Source organism: Homo sapiens, chromosome 2 (assembly GCF_000001405.40).
Source record: "Homo sapiens chromosome 2, GRCh38.p14 Primary Assembly".
Lineage (NCBI taxonomy): Eukaryota > Metazoa > Chordata > Mammalia > Primates > Hominidae > Homo > Homo sapiens.
In genome coordinates, this window is record NC_000002.12 from 124811366 (window position 1) to 124834054 (window position 22689).

At 38.3% G+C, this 22689-nt stretch overlaps 1 protein-coding gene across 3 annotated transcripts in view, besides 1 other annotated feature; it reads left to right on the forward strand.

Annotated features, from left to right (window-relative positions):
• Positions 1–22689, forward strand: part of CNTNAP5 (contactin associated protein family member 5) — an 895933-nt gene that overhangs the window by 786079 nt on the left and 87165 nt on the right. The gene's annotated exons all lie outside the window — the stretch shown is intronic.
• Positions 15120–16319: an enhancer, noted in NCBI's record as "CDK7 strongly-dependent group 2 enhancer chr2:125584062-125585261 (GRCh37/hg19 assembly coordinates)". NCBI's record gives its function as "activates an origin of replication core promoter dependent on BRD2, BRD4, P300/CBP, MED14 and CDK7 cofactors, with strong dependence on CDK7, by STARR-seq in HCT116 cells {active_cell/tissue: HCT116}" and the evidence as "EXISTENCE:reporter gene assay evidence [ECO:0000049][PMID:35650434]".

A 22689-nucleotide genomic window follows, 5' to 3' on the forward strand; every position in this document is an offset into this window, starting at 1 on the left:
ATACTATTTGACTTTATAAATGTATTACTTCGATAAAAAATTGAATGCTTCAAATAAATCTATTGTTAGATTATAAAGAAAGTTGTTTACAGTTTTGTTAAAAGAAAATTAGTTTTTTTCCCTACCAATAAATATGTATAAATATCTAAAGGATATTGGCTGAAGACACATAAGATGACTATGTGGACAGTGGCACACATGCCCCTTTTTGATGTTTTCAGTTAATGTAGTTATTCAATGAGTGAATGAAGGAATGAATGAACAATGCATGATGAAATAATTAAATTGAAAACAGGTCAGGCGCGGTGGCTCATGCCTGTAATCCCATCACTTTAGGAGGCGGGGGGGGTGGATCACCTGAAATCAGGAGTTCGAGACCAGCCTGGCCAACATGGAAAAACCCCATCTGTACTAAAAATACAAAAAGTTAGCTGGGCGTGGTGTCAGGCACCTGTAATCCCAGCTACTCAGGAGGCTGAGGCAGGAGAATCGCTTGAACCCGGGAGGCAGAGGTTGCAGAGAGTCAAAATTGTGCCACCGCACTCCAGCCTGGGCAAAAAGACCAAACCTCCATCTCAAAAAATATATATATATATATTTTTTATAATATATATAAAATTTATATTTATATATTATATAATATATAATTTATATTTATATATTATATAATATATAATTTATATTTATATATTATATAATATATAATTTATATTTATATATTATATAATATATAATTTATATTTATATATTATATAATATATAATTTATATTTATATATTATATAATATATAAATAATATATGTATTTATAATACATAAGTATATATAAAACAAATGATTCTACCCTTTTTTTAATGGTAAAGCACATTTTATTTAAATAGTTCATGCTAAGGCTAGTAAGAAGCTCCTCATTGCCAGATCTGGTTCAGGCCTTAATCTCCATGAGCTACCTAGAGCACACATATGGAAACCAAAAATAAAATTTGAAGTCCCCCAACCCCCCAGTGATCAGAGTGGAATCCCTCCTTTATGGCAGAGCACTCCAAAGTTAACTTCAAGAACTGGTTTAGGCCATGACAGGAAAGGGGCGGTTGGACATACTGCATTATACCCTCCCCACTTTTGGAATTCAGGAAAAGTCAACTAGCATTTGACATCAACCCAGACCTTAAATCTCATAAGAAATATTTGCAATCTATTCTCTCTAAATCCAGCCACCTGGAGGCTTCATCTGCATGATAAAGCTTTGGTTTCCACAACGTCTTATCATAACTCAGACATTCCTTTCTATTGATATTAACTCTTTCAAACAGTCTGAAAAATTGTAGATCTACCTATAACCTGGAAGCCCCATCTTTGAGTTGTCTTGCCTTTCTGGACCAAACCAATGGTTATCTTAAATGTATATGATTGATGTCCCATATCTCCCTAAAATGTATAAAACCAAGTTGCACCCCAATCACCTTGGGCCCATGTTCTCAGGGTCTCCTGAGGGCTGTGCTGTGTCGTGATCTATGATCACTCATATTTCACTCAGAATAAATCTCTTCAAATATTTTACAGAGTTTGACTTTTCATTGACACATGCCCTTACAAGAGCATTGGAGCTTTCTTGGCCACTTCTCAGTCTTCTGGATGAACACCTTGTCCTGAGCCTACCCTTTAAATGTTGACTTTTTGTGTCAGCTCTGGGTTTTTTTTGCTTTTTTTGTTTTTGTTTTTGTTTTTTTGTGATGGAGTCTTGCTCTGTCGCCCAGGCTGGAGTGCAGTGGTGTGATCTCGGCTCACTGCAAGCTCCACCTCCTGGGTTCACGCCATTTTCCTGCCTCAGCCTCCCGAGTAGCTGGGACTATAGGTGCCCGCCACCATGTCCGGTTAATTTTTTTGTATTTTTAGTAGAGACAGGGTTTCACCATTTTAGCCAGGATGGTCTCGATCTCCTGACCTCGTGATCCACCCACCTTGGCCTCCCAAAATGCTGGGATTACAGGCATGAGCCACCGTGCCTGGCCTGTTTTTTTTTTCTTTTTTTTTCTTTTTTTGAAGAAAAGATATACCCTCACTGAGCTAACTCATCCATTCCCATTTCCAAAACTTCAGCTGGTTACTGTATCCTGATGAACCCAAATCTATATGCCTAGCTTGGGTAGATCTATTTGGCCTTAAAAGAATTGTCTCAATTACTTACAGGGGCAACTTTACTTGGTTGTCCCCTAGGCCTCTAAAACTCAACACTTCACAAAATGAACTCAAGCTCTACCTCAACACCTCCCCACCACTCCAACTCCTCAGCTAGATCTGCTTCTGCTTGATTTTTTCTTTTTTCAGGGAAATGTTCTACATTCACCAAAATGTCCATGTCAGAAACAAGCATCACTCTTCTTTTCCTCTTTCTCACCCCTCTGGAGTCCATCAAACACCACACTTTACTGAATATACTTATATTGCATGTGGCATAGCTGCTTCCACAGTCTCTTTAAATCTATTCAATTCTTTATACAAAGATAGCTTTGGCTATCTTTGTTCTGGCCACCCTAATCTTGGAATTAGATTACTGCCACGGAGTTCAAATTCTTCTCCCAACCTCTAGGCCTGTACCCTTTTAATTCATTCTCCATTCTGACCAGGGTGATCTTTTAAAAATTCAAATATATTCATGTCACTTATTTTTTGATAGCTTCCCATTGCCTGCAGGTTCACCTCTAAACTCTCCTCAATCCCAGGCTCTTGTTATTCTCTGAAGTTTCCTTTTTTTTTTATGATTCTTACACCCCACTATACTCTCTGTCTATATTAAGTTGTGCTCAGATGATTGGATGCATCATGTTCTGTCCTTCCTCTAGGTCTTTGCACATTTTCTTACCTTTGCTCGAATCCTCTTTTTTTTTTTTTCCTGCCTCCATTCCCTCCTTGCTGGAAATTCTAATTTCTCCAAGTTTTGGTTCCATGTCACTTTCTCTGGGAAGCTTTCCTGGTCCCCTCCCAAAGACTGCATTAAGAGCCCTTCAACTGAGCTTTCTGTATCAGTCTATTACAGAAATTGTCACAAGCACTGTTCACTTGTATCCACTGCTATGATCTGAATTCCAGGACTCAGCACTCCTGGCCTAGCACAATGTGGGGGCCCAGTGTCTACAGGCGATAAATACTCCACCATTGTGGACAACTTTTCTTAGTGAAATTGCTTAAGAGCTTCTTTTAAAAATAGGGCATTTTTTTTTCAAGCAAAAGATCCTTTTTTACAAGCATATACTAATGGTTCATCTTCAAAAGAGTTCACTGGCATATCTTTGTTGTGCACTAAAGCACAGTGAAGAAAGAAAAAGAAGAAATTAAATTGGCTAACAACCTTGCTTAAAAGCACAGAAATAAAATGAGAGTAAAACTTAAAAAAGTTGCAGATAATAAAAATGGATTGCACTCTTCTTCTTATTTCTAATTTTGATAGATATTTTTCTTCTCAAAGGGTCTGAGAGAAAAATATCTTAAAAGGGAGGCAATTTAAAACAGGCAAAATATTGCATTAAAACAAAGAGAGGGGAAAAACGTGATCAAGTCATCAGCTCCGTAATGCTAATACTGTTGGTTTTCAGGTGTTTGAATTGCCCACCTTAGGTGGGGCCTCTAAAAAGACAAATGAGATTAGAGATGAAGTGCCTGCTAGTCTAAATGAAAGCACAACAATGAAAATCAAAGAAACAGCACACTTAATTCCCCTCTGACGTTCCTGATTTCCAGCTCTCCGTAGCAATAACTAAGTAAGCCTGGGTGTCCAGCAACATAGGCCATCGACATTTGTCAGAATTTTCAATAAACTGGCAATGAAAGACTAAATCCATGCAAGGTGGGAGATGAATTAGCACATAGCCAAAGGTACTGGAGGAATAAGCACTGGTTTCATAGCTGAAATATTTTTTGATAAAGTAATAATCCTCGGTAATCTCTCTCCAGCTTTAAATAACAGCCAGTCTTTGTGCCGGCAGTTTAATTTTGTTGGCTGCCCTTGTCTTACAAATATATTTAGTGGAGTCTGGAATATCATTTTGTGCTGAAAGCTGAAGGCTTTGTCATGCTGAAGCCAGGCAGAGGCAATAAATCAAGGACAAAGTGAAAAGGAATAGAAATGGGCTATCGGAAACTTATTTCCCCAGAGCGGCCGAGCTTTCGTCTCATGCTAGCAGGTGTATTGCATCAGTCATGTCTTCCTGTTAAGTGCCTATGTTGTAATGATATTGACTTACAACTACATTGCACCCTGGTTGGCATTGCTCCGAAGTGCTTAAGATGCATCTATGGGAAATACATGCTGAAAATAGCGTCATGAAAATATACAACTCCAGTTTTCTTTTCTTTCTTTTTTTTTTCTTTTCCTCCTCTAAGATCATTCTTCCCAGGAAATGGGATTTAGGTAACTTCCCCAAGTCACACCATTTGTACATGGAAAGGTGTATAACTGAATAATTTTATCCTCCAGTAAGAACTGTGCTGGGACACGATATTCAACTTCAGCTTCTTCCACTAATTTCCTCATTTGTGTCTAATCAATTAATAAATGACGTTTTAAAGGTAAGGGACCACTATAAACTTAAAATGATGAAACCAGGACTAATGTTCTTCAAGATCTGTGTTTGCCAAATTGGTCATTACTGAGAATGGATTGTGGAGAAAGAATATTTAAGTGTTTATAGGGGTCTGTGTCTTACCGTTAGCAATATAAATGAATAAAAATCACTATACTAGGAAGCCGGGGAGCTGGGTTCTTGTATTAGTTTTCTATTGTTGAGTAATACTTCTACAAATGTGCTGGATTAGAAGAGCAAACGTTTCTTATCTCACAGTTCCCTTGGGTCAAGAGTCCAATCACCATTTGTCTGTGTGCTCTATTCAGGGGCTCACAGGCTACAATCAAGGTATCAGCTGGGATGTGGTCTCATCAGAGGCTCCCCTGGGAAAAGTTCTGTTTCCAAGCTCCATTAGGTTGTTGGAAGAACTCAGTTTCTTGTAGTTTTGGTTCCTATTTTCTTTCTGGGCTGCCATCCAGTCTCTGTTCCCACCTCCCAAAGGCCACGAAAGTTCCTTGTGGCACTCCCTATTGGCCTTGCAGCTTACTTTTTTTTTTTTTTTTTTTTTGAGACAGAGTCTCGCTTTTGTTGCCCAGGCTGGAGTGCAATGGCACAACCTCAGCTCACTGCAACCTCCATCTCTGGGGTTCAAGTGATTCTTCTGCCTCAGCCTGCTGAGTAGCTGGGATTACAGGTGCCCACTGCCACACCTGGCTAATTTTTGTATTTTTAATAGAGAAGAGGTTTCACCATGTTGGTCAGGCTGGTCTTGAACTCCTGACCTCAGGTGATCCACCCGCCTCAGCCTCCCAAAGTGCCAGGATTACAAGCATGAGCCACCGTGCATGGCTGCAGCTTGCTTTTTTAAGCCAGCAAAAGAAAGCAAATATATGTATGTATGGATGAGTCTTTTAATGTAATTACAGAGAGGATATTCTATCACTTTTGCAATGTAATGTAACCTAATCATGCGAATGATATCACATCATCGTTGCCATATTCTATGTGTTTAAAGCAAGTCACAAGTCTCAACTACACTCAGAAGTTGGGGTTCTATGTGGGGTGTAAACATGAGGGCCACCCTAGGGTGTTTCTCCCACATAAGTAGTCCTTATTATTATTAAAAACTAGATACTCATATATTTGCTGTAAGCAGCAAGAATGAATGACTTATATTAACACTAAACAAAATTGATAAATCTCACAAAGTTAATGTTGAAAAAAACAGACTTAAGAAAGGCACATTCTCTATACATTCATTTTATATAAATTTTTAAAACATGCTAAATTAATCTGTGCTCTTAGAATAATGTTAACTTTGGAGGTAGGGAGAATGAGGGAATGCAAGGGGATTTATACGGTGATAGAATGTTCTGTCTCCTAAAGTAGATGCATTCCATTTGTAAAAGCATATGGAGCATGGAGTATTATATTTATTTGCACTTTTATAGACATAAGTACAATTATTCCTTATACTTCAAAAAAAAAGTAAAACAACACAACACACAAAAAAAAACAAAAGCCCTGAGTTAACTTAGAATAGATGCTTAATTTCTCTGGCTCTCAGTTTTCTAATCTATACCATGAGGTTGGTCTTGATGATGTTTAAGTCTATTCTAACAGATTATAGCTAGAGTTGTATAAAGTCTTGAGAGGCTATAAAACTCATTGGATGATTCTGAAGAGCTCAGGAGTCATCGTGTCCCAGCACAGTTCTTACTGGAGGATAAAATTATTCAGTTACACGTCTTTCCATGTACAAATAGTGTGACTTGAGGAAGTTACCTAACCCCCAATGCACTTTTGTTTTCTTGAGGCCTTATTCAGCTCAAAACATATCTATACTCTACTAATTTGGCAACACCTTCTGACTAGGCACCTATGTTATAACCAGGGTGGAGAGCAGGCAGTGGTGGGTGAATCTGGCCTGGGGGTAAATAAAAAGGAGGTGCATTGCAGATAATTTTAAAACAATAATAAAACTGAGTGCAAATGGGCCGGTCTTGTGTTACCACCATGTAACTGCCTTTCTAGACAACGTTAGCCACCGACACATTCTCACACACTGCAGCGGACAGTTCCACCACTGCCCCGTGTTTTCACTTGGCAATTGTGCTAAACTCATATAAAGCACTGGCTGCAGATATAGCTAAGATGTGACACTCTATGCTGGGATATATGACATGGAAGCTGAGGGATATGTGCACACCCACCTAACAGTGCGTTCACACCAAGACCCTCTTCAAAGAGAGGTCTGGATATTCAGAAACATACTATATTTTAGCCTCACTTGTCCCTCAGCTTCCTCCTCCAAGCCCCACTGAGCAACCATGATCCCTGGAAGTATTAGGTAACTGGCTCCCAGAATTGCTTGCTTGAGGCCAAGAGTTCAAGACCAGCCTGGGAAACAAAGAGAGACCCCCGCCTTTACAAAAATAAAAATAAAATAAGCTTGGCATGGTGACATGTGACTGTAGGTTGTCCCAGCTACTTGGGAGGCAGAGGTGAGAGGATGACTTGAGCCCAAGGGGGGTTTGCATGGCTACAGTGAGGTACAATTGCACTACTGCACTCCATTCTGGACAACAGTATGAGAACCTGTCTCTTAAAAAAAATACATCTCCAATTTAGTACCTCTTGATTATCCCTTCACTTATAGCTTCAAGACAAATTCTGAATCCAAGCACTGCTGACCACCTCACCCCTGCAGGCTGCCATCTCCTCCCCCACTTTCCACTCCATCCGCTCCTGTAGCCACAAGCCTCTTCCCAGGCCCCCTGCCCTCTCCTCTGGACTGCAGTAGTCTCTTCTCCATAGGGCACCCAGAGCTATCCATTCACAGCATGAGAGACCAACTGCATTTCTCCTCTCAAACCTGGATCTAGCAGGCAGTACACAATCTGGCCCTTAAAGTTGATCCCAGACTTTTTTCACCTACTGTCATAGGCCTGGCTCATCGACCTTCTCATTATTTCTAGGATGTGCCCAGCAGGCCACTGTTTTGGGTTTTACACTAACTTTCTCTATGTGCAAACCCATTTAGCTCAGTTTCATGTAGATCCCTTGTCTGGGCCCTACATGTCACCTTGTCTGGCAGTCTTTCCCTGACCACAGGCTGCCATTTGAGGAACCCAAGGAGTGGGGCTTATAGAGACCATGCCATCTCCAAATCAGCCCCAACCTTCACTCTCTGCCTTCTACTTGGCTTGGTGTTTCTTCATCAGCTTGTTATCTGGAATTATATTCTTAATTTATTTGTTTGTTGCCTGTCATCCAAACCTTAATGTAAGCTTTGGAGGGCACAGATGTTGTCCTTTGTAGCTAGGATGGAGTTTAGCACAGAGTAGATATTCACTACAGTATTCAGTTGACTGAATGATTGAAAGTCTGGTTTAGCTTTTACATTAGTCATATTGAATTTTCACTACCACTTAGGACTCCTATTTCTGTTTGGTAAAATTTTTCCAGCAAATAACATGGCAGTATGGGTCGGTTTGACCCCATGACCTGAGCTTTGTTGGGAATTTTAATCATCTGTCATCATAATTTCATCAAAATTTTCTTATAAAAAATGAGTAAACAACTGGTGATGCTGTTAATGGAGCACCTACATGAAAGCAACGTTCAGGCCACTGTGAAATTAACATTATCTTCAAATAATAGTTGGTCAGTGGAGCCTGCTGGGCTGAGATGTGTTTGAATGATTTCATCCTTTAGCTTCAGGGCTGAAATTAAGAACCAGGTTAGACCACTCAAAGTTAAAGGAAAGAAACAAGAGCAGAAGGGAAAGGAGGTCCAGGAAGCCAGAACACCAAAAACTGTAAGAAAAAACAGACATTGAGAAATAGAGAGTCTGGGACAAAAGAATAAAAGCAGAGAAAATATCCAGGCCTCGATGCCATATGTCCCTCAGGCTTTCCCATCAGCTGCTCAGTTACTGTGTGTCTCTTTCTTAAAGTTTCTTCCCTTGGACCCCATGCTTTCTCCATGTAGGCTCTGCCTTACTTCCTGTTGCAGCATTTTAGCCTGGTTGGTGAAATTGCATATCAACTTAAGGCTCTAGAGCCACACAGCTATTTGATTTGCAGAACAACATGTAAGGGAGAAGATTCTCTCCCTTGCAGAAATGGGCCAGACCTGGACAAACAAATAGAACTTCCATGAGTGTGCATTGTTTTTTCTTTCCTTACTCTGGTCTTACTACACACCCAGAGTCAAGCTGTTATCTATTGTAAGTTATATTAAGCCTTTAGTCTGTTTTTTTGTTTGCCGGGAAGGTAGATGTGATGTCAAACATTTGAGGCATTTTGAAAGTCTCAGAATATTAGGAGATTTTATCATCATAATAATTGGGGATTGAATCCATTTACAGTAAATGTCCCAGTACTACTGGCCCATTCTATCACACATTGAGAGAATGATGGTTTTCCACTCCATAATGATATCTAAACCACAATTTGATCTGTGACCCAGAAGAAGGGACCTGCTCTCCCTCACCAGTTGCTTCCTAATCCCTCTCCTCAGGTGAGGTGGAAAGGAAGGGGAAAAAAAAAACAATAAAAATGCAGCGAATTTAGGAGAAATAGAAGAAGGAAATGACACAAAGGAAAGGGGGGGGAGAAAGAAAGCAAAAGAGAAGCAAACATTAAATAGGTACAATCCAAAAATCCTATCAGTGGAGTTCTTGTATCAGTGGAGTTCTTGAGTTGATGGGCTTCTAGTTTCAATTATTTGTAATCTTCTCTTAAATATGGTAGTCCCTCATATTTATTCAACAAGTCATTATGCGCATTATCTCTTTGGATCTGTATACCATGCCTGTATTAATCTGATTTGCTGTCATAGCTGACAAATCCCAAATCTCAGTAGCTTGTAATAATATTATATGCCACTTACTTTCACATTATATCTCACTGGCTGTGGGTTAGCTTCTGTGATTTTGTTCCATGCAGTTTTTCATTCAAAGCCCCCGGTTGAAGCAATAACTCTATTTAGGATTTTCTATTTCTCAAGATAGAAGAAAAGAGTGAACAAACTTGTGGAAATATGCAGTGGTTCTCACAGTTTGTGCTCACAGGCTCTTTGTCAAAGGAAGTTGGAGGGTTATTCCCAACATCGCCAGGCAGGAAACCATGCAGTTCCCACAAGGTATGGCCGGTCTCATGGCCATAAGCCAGGGTGTGTAATTACCTTTTATAGGAAAAGTAAATATGTATCTGGGAACAATAATACAACCTACATTAATACCAGAGTAAGTTAATAAGGCTTGTGGGCCCACTCCACTTACCGATAAGAAAAGAGAGGGACAGAAAACTAAGGAGAAAAAGAGCCTGACCTAGATCTCAGGTTATGTAATTTCCAGATAATTGATATGGCCTTTCTATCCACTTTCTTTCCCTCCCCTACTTGCATTTTCTTTTACACTAAGGTAGCACTGCTCAAACGGCAGCAGGCACCAGAATCACCTGAAAGACTCCTTGAAACACAGATGACTGGAACTCACTTTCAGAATTTCTGATTTGTTATGTCTGGCATAGGGCTTTTTAAAAAAGTTTTCTTTTTAAGCAAGTTCCTAGCTAGTGTTGAGGATGTTGATCCTGGGACCACACTTTGAAAACCACCGCTTTAAGGTCCATCTCCAGAGTAGAGTGCAATGTACAACTGTTCCAATTACCTATTTTTTTTAGCCTTTTTGTAGAATAAGTGAACAGCGACTTCAGTGAATTGGTTCTGTAACTTTAACAGCTCCACTCGATCTTAGGAGAGGCTATAGCAGCCCCACAGTAGTAGCTCTCCAAGTGTGATCCCTGGACCTACAGTACCAGCATTGCCTGGGTATGTGTTGGAAATGCACATCATTGACTCTGCTCCAGAACTACTGACTCCCAATTTCTGGGGATGGGGCAAAGCCCTCTGTGTTTTACGCAGTCCTCCAGATGATTCTGATGTATGCTCAATTTTGAGAAATGTGGTTTGGTCCTACAGCTAGACTGCAACACCATGGTGAGGTCTTCAGGACTTGTTTGCTACATGCCTGCTGCTTGCTAGAAATGAAAGCTCTCAGGTCCCATCCTATATTTACTGACTGATCTTCATGTTGTGGGGTTTCTTCTTGCAGAGCCCCTAGTCTCTGCCACATTACCCAGCCATTTAGTCCATTTATTACAACTGACTGTCTGCTTGACTTTCAGTTATAATTTTACCCCTGAATGATCCTTGGTTCTGTGCTCTGTAGCCTCAGGACTTATATTCCTGCTCATTTCCCTGGCCAATATTAGAACCTTACTCCAGGTGTAGCTTATCAGCCCTCTTGGAAGGGGGTTGGTGTGAGGATGCTTAGACAGGGTTGATGTGAGAGCCTCTATTTCTCATGATTTGTATTTTTCCATTAAAATTCTTCACCTTCCTTCATTACAACCTTGTCTTAACTCTTGCCCTCATTCTTTGAGACTAGCTTTATGGACAATTTTAACCAGTGTATTAAAAACATAATTACAGTCATACTATTGTGTATTTATGAAACACAAATCATCTAATCAGCTGATTGCCTTTGCATGAGTTGTTCATGAGAAAACATGATGCAATTACCAGTCCCCTTCCAACGAGATGTACTATTGCCATTTTAAAAAAGCATTTCTACATCCAGAAGTCATTTAGTCTTTTCTTTAAATAAAGTAAAAAAACAAGGCTGCAGACAATGAAATGAGAGAAACAGATCGACATCTCTAATGATTCTAGGCAAACTCTGAGTCATTTCACTTCAGATCTGTGATGTTTATACAGCAAATGCAGATGTTATGTTTACTCACTGCAGAGCATTTCCTGAAAGTCTTGGCTTGCATGGAAAACTTTCATGGGGTATTCTTTTAGACAGTGTATGTCTTGCTAGCTGAGAAAAATTTTAAAGAAAAAAAACTTGACCTCAGAGGATATTGACGTAGAGGTATCTGAGGTTAAAATGTCAGAAGGAAGACCTTTGGGAACATGTGAATATTTCCCGAGTCCCAACTCTACCAATGTGTGACCATCATCACTGAAATTTGGTCATATGGAGGTGCATAAGGCATGTTTCTTGTCTTCAACGAGCTCATAGTCTTGCAAAATACAAACAACACAGAGAAAAAATGAAATGTTTTATCATAAATGCTGTGATTAGTGCAACCAATAATTTATCACCAAAGCAGGCATTCACACAACAGGTATACTTTGTAGCTGTTCCTGGCACACCGCTTATATGGTCACTCTAGTTACAGTTGATAAGTGCAGATATGAAGTAGGCTTAGAACGGACATTTCCTTGTGGGATGATTCTGGGAAAGCTACCTAAGACACCAGATCTAGTGCTTATTGAACTAATATTTCATTGTCCTGTTGATCTTTAGAGCCATTCACTATATATTTACAAACTATCGTGTTGGATGTCGAGATCTCTTTCTAAAGCCAAACCATTATCAAATGCTTTGTCTCCTTTTCTTACCATTCACACATTTCACCTTTCAAAGACCGTCACCACACCAGCTCCATGCCCTACTGGTTACGTACAGAAAGAGTAACAGACTAAGGTTGACAAGCATCTGTTTAACCTTGATTTTATTGCAAACCAGCCATGACACATTCTACTAATCAGTAAACATCTACAAACATGAGAAGGACATCATCAGTGTCCCTGCTCACATTGTTCTTTGGTGCCCTTATCACACTAAAGAGTTGTACAGGCAGACCTATGGATGAGTCACCACTCTGACACCTCACCAGTTAGGTGACCTTAGAGAAGTCCCTGAACACTTCTGAACCACAGGATGCCCATTTGTAATAGCCACAGAACCATGGAGGGCATTGTATAGACTGAGCACAGTATATGTGAAATGCCAAGCAAGTTTCTGCTGCCAAGTAGGTATCTGGTGCATGGTGATGAGTTGCTGTCATTATTCTCACTGATGCAGTTGCTAACTGCAACATAGGGCTGGCCATGAGTGACAGTTCTGATTTTTTTTTTCTTTTTTTTTTTTTGAGACGGAGTTTTACTCTTGTTTCCCAGGCTGAAGTGCAATGGCGGGATCTCGGCTCACTTCAGCCTCTGCCTCCTGGTTCAAGCGATTCTCCTTCCTCAGCCTCCCAAGTAGCTGGGATTACAGATGCATACCACCATGCCAGGCTAATTTTTGTATTTTTAGTAGAGATGGGTTTTCGTCATGTTGGCCAGGCTGGTCTTGAACTCTTGACCTTAGGTGATCTGCCCTCCTCGGCTTCCCAAAATTCTGGGATTACAGGCATGAGCTACCATGCCTGGCCCTTATGTTCTTTTAGATGAGTGACCATGCTCTTTCCCAAAGCCATCTGGGGAGTCATCCTCCCTTTTTACCATCTTCGCATGTTATTTTCAATTTTCATACTAACATGTCAGAACCAGTTTGCTGCTTATTCCTCTGCTGTACTTTCAAACAGAAAATAGCATGTTGTTGGCAGGTTCTGACTGTTTGATTAAAAGAAATAAACAAAAATCTGTGATGAAACAGTTCACTATGATGTTTAATCCATCGTGTCCATGGAAAGGGGTTCATTAGCCAGAATCTCACTCTGAAGGATGCCCAAAGCTAAGAGATCAGGGGAGGCTTCACTCAGTAATGGCATCTGGTGAAGGTTAGCATGAAAAAAAATCCATGGTTTGTCAATTACTTAAGTAATATCTTGTCCCAGCATGGTGATGCTCATGGCAACTCCCATTGATTGGTTTTGACTGCTCTTGGAATAATACTGGAGCCACTTTGCTCCCAGCTGGAAGCAGAGCACGATCAGTAGTGTCTGCCTGGGGTAGTAAAACAAGAAACAGAAGGCTTCTCTTAATGTCCTACCAGTCCTAATCTGTAAACTAATTGCAGGACTAATTCCTACAGGACTGTCACACAAGCAAAGATTTTATGCCTTATTTATTAATTTATACACGTTCCAATCCATCTTGTACTCCTGGATTTAGCATACTCTTACAAGCTTTCAGAAATGAAACAAAGATTAGTTGACATTCATATTCTTTTCAGTCCACCCTTTTATTCCTCCTAAAAACGGTAGACTTCTATTCATATTACAAATATTTCAACTACTTACATATTCTTAACTATTGTAAAAATAAGAGAATGGTCAATGAAGAGGACAATAGAAAAACCTGATAATTATTAGATAAATTGAGATAACTATTTTAACTATATATACTGAGAGTGTTTGGTAAATATACCGCATTCTGCTATGGTCTATCTACACTCTATTTTCTTGTATACAAGGCATAGTGTATGTATGCCTCTTACCTTTAATAAGGATAACAAATTTACTTTCTTAAAGTAATTGAAGAACAGTAATTTACCTGTTTCCAATAGTATTTATTTTTTAGATTTTTATCATCTCCAATGAATACTTGCTTGTGCCCAGGGATAAGTGTGATAACACAGGGGATGTTTCTATGTAATTATTTATCTCAAAGTCCCATTTAAACTGACTCTCCCTCAAGAAGGTCCCTTACAATAACAAGACAAAGCTATGAACAGCACCTTAGACAGTTGACCTTAACTATAGAACACCTCTTATACTGTGGGTGGAGTGAGAGTGAGTCCCTCACAAGGCAGGAAGCAGAATCTTCAGGGTGAGAAATGAATGCATCCTAATGGCACTTTCCTGCTTGGATAGGAACTCATTCTTAATCAGAACAGCTTTTGAAATGGGAAACACTTGTGGGAGGGGAGGATTATACTTTAGGGCCTGGAAGGGGCTGCTGATCAAAAGTCTCTTTTTATTCTGGAATCTGGGGAGAAGGCAGAAATCATATACTTTATTTTTGTGGAAGACCTGCTGCTGTACTACACCAAGCATTCTTGGGATCGGGGCATGACGATGATCCCATCCAGGATATCCAGGAACCCCTGAATTACATCCCATGCTTTGTATCTGTTGGAATTTCCTATGAACAGCACCCATAGCTTGTATTAGAAGCTCACAAGTGTCTGTAACTGTAGAAGATTAAGAAGGCTCAGGAGTTATTGTAACTCATTTTGGCTTACTTAATAAAAGTAAATTATAGAGACTGAAATATTTCTACTGGATATGCTTGCATTTTAGTATGCTCTGTTTTTTATATAACAAACATAATTGCATAATGAAATTAATATATTAGCCTCAAGTAGTTTTTAAAAAAAAAACTGAATCATTTGGATCTTGAGATCTTACTGAGTTATTACTACATTAATTATTAAATATCAAAAGAAGTACCTTAGTTTAAGAAACTTTATAACCATATTTCTACCATATTTGAAACCTTTCCAAAGTATTTGTCTTGCTGTTTTAATTCTAATTTCCTGGGTTCCTTGTGAAGGTGAAAGTCTTTGGTAAGTTTCACAGCCTTTCTTAGTGTCAGATTGGGCCCATAGAGGTTCAAATTTTGATTGAGTAGGCTTACCATTGGGAGAGTGGGATGTTAAGAAAACTCAGGGATGAGTGGGAGGTAAAGAGAGAAGGTGGGGAATTAGATGAAGTGTGGAGCTTCCAGGCCAGATTCCCAGCCCCTCCCTGGCCCCTGATCACTTTATTCTGGGATGAAGCCCAGAATAAGTTTCCCTCTTCTCCCCTGTCTTTTGCTCCAGGGCTACACAGGGTTTGCAAAGTGTGGTCTCTGGACCAACAGAAGGAGCTTCACTTGTGGACTCATTAGAAATGCAAATTCTGATGCTCCCCTCCAACCCCTACCCTCTCACATCTGCAAAACTGGAAGCTATGGGGTAGGGCCCACCTTTCAGTATTTTAACAAACCCTCTAGGTGATCCTCCTATTTGAAAATCTGCTATTATAGCCAGACACTATTTCTGAAACACCCCTGAGATAGCGCTCACCTGAGCAGCAGGTAAATGTGTACCTTCCCAGACCTCTTCCTGAAGATCCTGTTTGATTGCATCTGTGATGAGCCCCAGAAAGGCTGGTTGTCAATAAGTAAGTATCTACGAAAATTTTTTTCTTTTCTTTCTTTTTTTTCTTGAGACAGGGTCTTGTTCTGCCACCCAGGCTGGAGAATACCAGTGCAATCAGAGCTTACTGCAGCTTTAACCTCCCAAGCCCAAGCGATCCTTCCATTTCAGTCTCTTGAGTCGCTAGGGCCACAGGCCTGCAACACCACACCCACCTAATATTTTTTATTATTTCCTTAGAGACAGGATCTCCCTGTGTTGCTCAGGCTGGTCTCAAACTCCTGGGTTCAAGTGATCATCTTGTCTCGGCCTCCCAAAGTACTGAGATTATAGATATGAGCCACCGCACCTGGCCTACAAAGATTCTTCCCGCTAGAAAACATTGGCATTACCAAGCAAGCTTCCCCACCACATCCTGTGGCACACTGTGTGCTGGTGGCGAGTCACAGGGGTTTTCAGGATGGATTCCCCTCAAATCTCACTGACCAGGTGGGTCTGGGTCAGTTAAAGTCCTTGTACTGGTCCTCTCTGAGCAGCCAAGTCAGTGCACTCCAGTGTCTCTGCAGATGTGATGAAAAAAGTCATGAGATCTTCTAAATCTGATGTTTTGTCCTCCAGCATAACCCACGTGAACTGAGACATCCTTCTTCTGTCATGTTCCTTGATGAGACTTAACCCACATGACAGACAGCAGCGCCTCCATCTTGAACCCTGGTGTCACAGTATCTGAGGTTAGAGGAAGGAAGTGAAGACGAACATAGTCCACTTACATATTTTTTTGATTTGTAAATAAAATACTACTAGTTCAGTGTTTGTTTCGTATAATACATTTTCCTTTTTTATCGTAATTACCAACTAAATATGATGTAGCTTTTCATAAGTAGCTCTATGTTAGGCTCATAAACATTAATGCTTATTGTATGCCATAATAGAGTAATACTTAAGGCAGGTGAGTTCTTTTGTCTGTGTTCTGTAGTTTCTGTGTTTTCTTCCCCCACTTCCCTTGTTGTCTGTTTTCTTGGACCAAGGCTCTTCGTATCCTAGAAACTCTTCAACTTGCTGCCTCTGATTTTTCCTGTTCTGGGTAAACTGGTAGAGTAAATTGTTTCCAATTCAGCTCCAAGCTGCTCTTCCTTTGAGTTGCTCCCACTTGCACCCAGTGTGCCATGGACAGGGATGTCAGCCTTGAGTGACAGGAAAAATGTTGTAGTTTGACAGCTGAGTCCACTACTGCTGTAATCTTGCAAGAACTATTTAATCTCTCAAAGACTTTTTCAAAGGTTGTAAAGTTTGATAATAATGTCTACTTGTTATTTAAAAAATATGGTATTGGCCAGACGCGTTGGCTCACACCTCTAATCTCAGCACTTTGCGAGGCCGAGACGGGCGGATCACGAGGTCAGGAGATCAAGACCATCCTGGTTAACATGGTGAAATCTCATCTCTACTAAATATAAGAAAAATTAGCCTGGCTTGGTGGCAGGCACCTGTAGTCCCAGTTACTTGGGAGGCTGAGGCAGGAGAATGGCGTGAACCTAGGAGGTGGAGCTTGCAGCAAGCTGAGATCGTGCCACTGCACTCCAGCCTGGGTGACAGAGTGAGACTCCATCTCAAAAAACAAAAAACAAAAATAAAAATACATAAGTTATTAAGGATGAATGCACAGAATAACTAAAACCATGCTTTGCCATATCGTAGGTTTTCAAAATATTTGAATTCCCTTCTCTTCTTAGTCCTATCTAAGCTGTGTTTGAATAGTTGGATTAGCCTGAGAAATGGCTTCTCTATAAGTATAAGGCAAATATTTGCTTAACAAATGTTTACCAAGGACCTACTATATGCCTTGCAGACCAATGCAAGTGTTGGCAAAAAAAAAAAAAAAAAAAAAAAAAAAAAAAAAAAAATCAATCACTTAAATCATTAAAGTAAGTTTTGTTCAAAAGTCTTACTGAAGACTATAGAATGAGGACTATAGCCCCAGAGTGGTCCTTCAGAGAAGCTGTCAGACTTCTCTGACACAGTGTTTCAGCCCACAGCTTACATATGGGGGTGGGGGTTCAGTAAATGCAAAATCACATCAAAATTGCTCACAAGTGACATCAAACCAGAATCACACCAAGGTTTTGGTGTAAGAGTACCTCTGGTCATAGATTACAAAGGCACAATCATTAACCCTATCAGATGTCATCTTATGTGCAAGAAAAGGCAAGGGCTAGGGTCATTCATACTTTAAGGAATATAGTGACTCGGGCAAGAGATGTGGGGGGCCATGTGCCCTATCCTGTTTTGTCTTCAAAGTGTCTGGAGAGCTATACATCATTCCAGAGTCAGGGGCTTGTGAAATTATGCTGGCAAGCTGAAAAGGGCCAAAAGGGCTTCTTCCCTTTGCCATTTTGTCTCACAAGATCCCCCCTTTGATCATAAATCAACTGTCTGGTTGCATTTACAGAACCAGTATGGATTGTTCCACATAGCTAGGAAGACTCTTTCCTTAGGAAGGTCGGTGATCTTCATTTGTATTTGTAAGGAATTGGGCAGCATGCTTACTTTCCTATTTGTTGGAAAGCATATTTTGAATATCTTCTATTTTTTAACTAGCATAATCTGATTTTCTTTCCTGACATTTCCCTGCACCTAACATAACATCTCAACAGGACTATACAAGGATACTAGAGATTATACATAGTGGTATATACATAATAGCATCACTATCAGTTACAAATTAGAAATTAAAAAAAAAAATTGATAATCATGCAACAAAATTGGAACATGCATTTGCATATTTTTTCATTAATTGTACTATGTTTTTTCCTTTTTAGTATCCATATTTATTATTATTTATGAAAAAATTTGACCTAGAGCTTATTATAAATGTTTTTAGAGAATACTTCAAAATAATACTGTGGATGATGAAAACTTTGAATAGCCATGATTAAAATATGATGAAAGTTCCCAGTTGACAAGAACATCTAGTTATTTCTATTATATGCAGTATACTAAGATAATTAGAATCATGACTGACAGTGCCACATCAGAAAAATCAAACTTTTATAAAGTTTATGTAGTCTTTAGAATACTCACATTAATAACATTTATAAAAATATAATTTTAGAAAAGATTTAACATAATCAAAATTATAGCTGATACCATATTAGATTTCTATGAATTTATATATTTTATGTGATTTATAGCAATAACATACCCATAAATATAATGGAAAGAGGATCTAGATTATTTATCATTTGATAATATTTTCTATACAATCTACCTAATAAGTCTAATATTTTAATCAAAAAGACTTAATTTAGAATTTTGATCTTTGGGAAAACTGCAAAAGATGTCAAAATGTTTAAAATACTTGATCAAAACAGATTCACAGATTATTATAAAATAATAATTATTCATTTCACTAGAGTCATAACATGGATGTAAAATACTTAACCCTTTTAAGCTCAGTTTTCCTAGTTAATCAAAAACTGAATAAAGACAACACAGGAATTATCTTAATAGAGTGTAAAATCTTTATTGTGTAGGCCAGCTACTAAAAACATAAAGAAAAACCTCCCATAGTGTCATTGCCTTTTTTTATGAAAAGCCCATTCAGATAACTGTCAAATCTGATGAAAAGAGCCCTTGAATTCAATCAGACACAGGAAGAGTGCGTCCAGGGTCATGAATGTACACTATATAATAGAGGAATGTAAACACAAAACTAGTACCTTGAGCAGAGGGAATACATGGCTTTTAGTAACAATATAGGAAATTTCCTGGTTACATTGAACAATTCAGACATATCAAGAAAAGCCAAGGCACAGAATCAAGTTATACTTGAGAAAAAAATTGTTTTTCTGGACCTTCAAGATAAACATTTCAGCCTCAGGTCACAACAGCAGAGTTAGAACTGGAGAAAAAAAGTTACAAGAACTGATGAAAAAGTTGAAAGAGAGAGTTATCATCTCAGCTAAGCAAAAAGTTATATCTTCTCAAGGAGAAAAGGAACTGAAGGCAATTATGTATAATTCACAAATCAGGTGCAGTGAAATAGGCAAAAGTTAAACTTTTGAGACATAAATCTGAAAAGCTTCAAAAAGAAACTGATTTCAGAATTAAAAATCAAAACCTCTTGCAATTGCAGTAAGAGCAAATCAGTATTTTTAGATAACCTTATTTTTCTAACATAACTGACAAAATTTTGTTTTGTTTTAATATATTTTAATATCAAAGCTCAATCTTTAGAAAGACAATTATGAATAATGTTATTTCTATTATAGCCAACTTGATCATATAAAACATATCTTTCATACATTCTCTTTTCACAACTATATCATGACTTACCCAGACCATTTATGACATGCTTGCACTTTCTGGTTTGTCCAATACCTTCTCTTTTTTAAATAACCGCTCATTTTACTTTAAGACAACAATTTATGTAAGCTTCTTTCTCATACAAGATTAATATCTTTCCTCTTACCTTCCTTACCAAGAATACATCATCATATCCATTCCATTCATATACATTCTTCATATCTTTCTTTCCTACTTACTGGTTCCTTTCTATCTTGTTTCATGAATAACCACTGAATTAGATAAAATTGTCCTTTTTCTCAAAATGATGCATTTTTATGCTTTTCTTATATTTTTCCATCAAAAAACCATATTTTTGCATACTTTGTATATATAATTATATATTAAAATATTTTAAATTCTTAGTAACCTTAAATTTTAGTCAAAATCTAGGAAGCAAGATCTTGAATTGTCTTTCATATATCAGTATTTTATATACTAAAATAATTTCCTAATTTTTAGAAACATATTTCCTTATAACAAAATTTTTCTCTCAATTGAAAATGACCCAAGTATTGAATGATTATCTATTATTTAATTTAACATAACTTTAATATTTAAAATTACATGAAAAGTTTATTTACAAGTATTTACCTAATTTATTATTTTTAACAGATTGCCTAGATTACTTATGAAAACTGACATATTGGACAAAGCTAGTCATCATTTAAATTTATTTCCAAGTTGACCATTTTTACAGCCTGTGAATATCAAGTGTTTACCTAAGTAAGAACTTTAAAATTAAATACATGAGTATTTTGATGATAGCTCAGAAAATTCGGTTGTTTTCATTAAACCAACAATATTAAATTAGTCTTACTTATAAAAAGAATACACACAGATCTTTCTGTTTTGGGCTGAGTTTGTAGTTTTATGACATTCTAAAACCTGCCACCTTAAAATATCTAGCAGAGGCAAATATAGAACTGTCTCTTCAGTAAATCCAGGCAAAAATGTATGCTGATGATTCTGAAGACAATTTTATTTTTATTTTATCCATAATTTTTAAACAAGCTTATTTATTAAGGATTTTCTTAAGTCACATGAACTGGAAAATATTTAAACTTACTAATTCATGAGTGCTCGTTTATTTATGCATCTACTTAGTACCATATGACACAACATACAGAATAATACACATACATATGCAAACACTTCTCAACATATATACACACATAGAAATAAAAATATTATAGTTTTCATTTCAGAAATTTAGTTATGAGATAGTAATATAAACTCACTAATTTAAACAAGACAATTAGACCTAAATTATTTCCAACAAAATTGGAACCTTTTTCCATGACTAAACTTTATTTGACCCAATAGGTAATCTAATGGAGGCTGTGGACCAAAATTTTGGGTAAAGCATTTTCCATGAAAGTTTTTATTTTTAGAAACTTCTTTTACCTTTTTTTTCCTTCAATTCCAAGTGAGTTAAAGGATAATACTTCAATGATTACATTTTAGGGAGAACTTGCCAAGTTGTGTAAGATAAACAAAATCTCCAGTTACTAATACAGCCTTGAAGTAATAATGCCGTAAACAATGAGTTTTATCTCAACACCAGTAGAATAGACAACAGATTCAAGTAGGCAGAAAAAATAATAGAGAACTTAAAAGACTCTGCAGGTTAACTCTATAGTTGCGAATTTTTTGAGTAATGATCATTTAAGCTCTGAACTTTCTTTTTCTTTTTTTTTCTTTTCCTTTTTTTTTTTGAGACAGGGTCTGCCTCTGTCCCCCAGGCTGGAGAGTGGCACAATCTCAGTTCACTGCAACATCCACCTCTCAGGATCACACCATCCTCCCACATCAGTCTCTCAAATAGCTGGGATTACAGATGGACACCACCACTCCCAGCTAATTTTTGAAGTATTTGTAAAGATGAGGTTTTGCCATGTTGCCCAGGCTGGTCTCAAACTCCTGAGCTCAAGAGATCTGCCTTCCTTGGCCTCCCAAAGTGTTGAGATTGCAGGCATGAACCACGGAACCTGGACAAAAATTTCCCTTCCTAAGAAACAAAAGATCTCATGGAAGAACTTACCCTTTTGTCAAGGAGTGTAAATAACTAGCTGAATAAAACTCAGCATTGGCAACAAAGTATGAGATCTGAGACTCAGGAGAGACCCACCTAGTCATCTGCAAATGTGGAGGAGATGCAGGGGCTTTAAGGGCCATGCTGGTACCAAGGCTCTGGGTCCCCACAATGTTCCAAATGGTCCTTATCTGTATACTATGGGTTTCTTCTGGGACACCATGATTGTTGACTAAAGAAAATAGAATTAAGCTGTTTAGAAAGTTAAAGTTAGTTTTATTCAGAAGTCTTACTGAAGACTAAAGATTATGGAATGAGGACCTCACCTAGGAGCAATCCTTCAGAGAGGTTATCAGATGGCTCTGTAACAGTGTTTCAACCCACTGCTTACATAGAGGTGGTGAGGGTTCAGTACTTCAGTACATGCAAAAATCACATCAAACTTGCTCAGAAGTTACATCAAAGCAGAATCACATCAGGGTTTCAATTCAAGTGTAGATCTGGTTTTAGATTACAGAGGCACAATCATTAACTTCATCAGATACTGTCTTATGTGTAGGAAAAGGCAAGAGCTAAGGTCATTCATATTTTAAGGAATATATTGACTCAGGTAAGAGATGTGGTGGGGGGCATGTGCCCTGTCCTGTTTTATTTTCAAAGCCTCTTTCTGAGGAGCTGCACATCATCACAGAGTTAGGGACTTTGTGAAATTACTCTGGCATGCAGAAATGAGTGAACACTGCTTCTTATGTTTGCTACTTTGTCTCACATGAGAAATAGAAGATAATAACAAAGGAAGAAATGTAA